Source organism: Homo sapiens, chromosome 2, assembly GCF_000001405.40.
Source record: "Homo sapiens chromosome 2, GRCh38.p14 Primary Assembly".
Taxonomy (NCBI): domain Eukaryota; kingdom Metazoa; phylum Chordata; class Mammalia; order Primates; family Hominidae; genus Homo; species Homo sapiens.
The window spans coordinates 207,007,391-207,010,008 of record NC_000002.12 but is presented as its reverse complement, the minus strand read 5'-3'; the positions used below and the strand labels follow the sequence as shown (position 1 = coordinate 207,010,008).

The following is a 2,618-nucleotide window of genomic DNA, read 5'->3' as shown; positions in this document are numbered from 1 at the left end:
AATGTTAATATATGCAAAGGACTTGCGAACTTTCCTGTATACAATTTGAATTCAACAAACAACAGCTATTAGAAAAGAGAACACAAACCTTGCTTACAGACTAAAATGACCTGGGACTTAATATCTGTTTGCTCTTTTACAGGAAGTAGATCTCCAAGTTCTTTTTCTTTTTGTGACGAGGAAATGGGTTCAAAATAAATCTCTGGTTCTTCCTACACTCTAAGAAAACCCCCCAGGAAAGAGGTTTTTTTCCCCTTCTTTCCAAGGTCAGATTATTTTCCTTTTCTCCCCCAAACCCCTCCCCCTATACCTACTTCTCTTTTACATATAAAAAATTTTGTTACTTTATACCTTTTCTCTATAGTATGTGTGTTATGCCTTCTTTCCTCCCATGAAAGAAAGATAGTTGATGTGATGATGCTTTTCATTCACTAAAGAAAGTGCTAAGTCACCCAGCTAGAGGGTCTGAAAAGGTGACACTCCTCCTATCAGAATAGCCAATGGCTAATAACCATCACTCTAACTTTAGGTATAGATTATTATTATTATTGAGCGTATTGCACCTTGGCTGTTTGCCCAGTATGTCCTTGCTAACTCAGGGTCACAAAAAAGAGTAATTCTCTGCCACAACTCGATAAGACATGAGATCTGCATGATTAAAATGACCTTAGCATTTGGAATCCTGAAATAATGGCACTCCAAATTAAATTAAGAATGGGTTAGATTGCTTTCAGTGAATAATTGCCATTACTACACACCATTCTTCTTGCTCCCCTCCAAAGTCTTTATTGATTTCATTGTTGCTCAGATGCTGAAGATATCTGTCCTATTGTTTGGAGGAATTTAAGATCCTTAGGAGGACTTAGCAAATTAATGGAGGGAGGCTGAAGGAACAAAGAAAATGAGGTGGTACACACACACACACACACACACACACACACACACACACACACACACACTGAAGAGAGGTTGTTGTAGTGGTAGACAATTTCTTTGATAAAGCCAGAGCAGAATTCTTTGTTCAACCATCCCTTTCTGGGTGAATGTGCTTAGTCAAGACATCAGGTCACTGGCCCTTGGACAGCTCCCAGTCATTTGCCCATCAGTGACTGCAGTGCCCACACAGACCACTTTCATAATTAAATTCCAAAAATTCCTGTTCTGAATCACCCAATAATTGACTACATTTGTATTTGGAAGTCTTTGCTGATGAGAATAAAGCAGCATGCAATAATGCTTTCAGTTTCACCATGGTTTTATTACCTTATTGGACCACTAGGGACCTACTACATTCCCGGGGGGGACACTTTTCTATTTAATTAACCTGCAGACATTTAGCCTAAACAGCAATAAATAATAGACAAATACTCCCCTTCCCCCTATTTGTCTCTTATGGAGAATTACTACTACTAATAACAAAATAATTGAAATCCAAAATAAAACCACACAGCCAGGGAGGTGGGTAGATGATGGGGAGGGTAGAGAGAGAAGCTTCAGATGGCTAATTGGGGACAAGTATATACTAGATATGGTGAAATAGTGTTTTCTTTTGCTTTAAGCTACTAACTTGGAGGCACAGAAGAGAATTAGCTACTTTCATAGGGAGGATTTCAGGAGTTCCAGGAAGGGACCCTGCCAGGCACAGCCTCCTTCTAACCAGCACACTGAGCCTTTAACCAGAAACAAAGCCATTCTTTCTATTGTTGCATAGAAGGCCTGGAATGTGAAGTCCCCCCAGGCACATGAAGGAGGGGATGATGTAAACTTAACAATGAGAGGCAAAGGACTGATGTCACATCCTCTCCTGAGAGCTGATTTTTGATGATGAAAAGAGGAAAGAAAGTCTTGGACTTTGAAGAGGCATGGGGAAGAAAATGGTCTAGCATTTTTTCATACTTTACAATTTTGCCTAATACTGTTTTGCTTGTAAATCAACCCTTCATCCTCTGAAAGGAAGGCTACAAATACATGGATATGTATTAAGCATTTATTGTATGCTAGGTTCTTTCCCACACAGTATTTCATAACACTACTGCAAGATAGGATTCCTAATCCCCTTTTGCTGAAGAAGAGATTGAGGCCAGGATGCATAAATAAACTTATCCAAGATCAACTGGCTTCTAAATGGCAGAGCAAGGATTGGAATCAAGGTCAGCCTGATTCCAAAACTCAGATGCTTTTTACTTCTACCATGATAGCTCATAATAGAGCCTGATCTAAACTTTGGAGATAATTATTTTCAAAATGCAAAGCAAGTCAAAAATTTGTCATTGGCCTTGGAATATTTTGTTGAAGGGAGTCAGAAGGATTAAATTCATTTTTATACATGAGACTTAAAAACGATATGTGGGGACCAACCCAAGTTTCTACTGCAAAGCAGAAAGTATTACTTTTAATGGCAAAAACTGCAATTACTTTTGTAACAACCTAATAAGGATTTAGTGGATCTGGATAATATGACCAGCTGCCTATTTGACCTCTCCTTTTGGGTTTCCCTTAGGCACTTAAACTCAATCTGTACACAACTGAACTCATCGTCTTTTATCAGCCCATCACCCGTTCGCCTTTCCTGTTCTAACTTATTGCCTGTTGTATTGTTTTTCTTATTTGATGGGCAC

General features: G+C 38.9%; 1 annotated feature.

The window, feature by feature from the left end:
• Positions 1,550–1,844: a silencer, noted in NCBI's record as "tiled region #8398; K562 Repressive non-DNase unmatched - State 24:Quies". NCBI's record gives its function as "represses a minimal TATA promoter and a strong SV40 promoter by Sharpr-MPRA in K562 cells {active_cell/tissue: K562}" and the evidence as "EXISTENCE:reporter gene assay evidence [ECO:0000049][PMID:27701403]".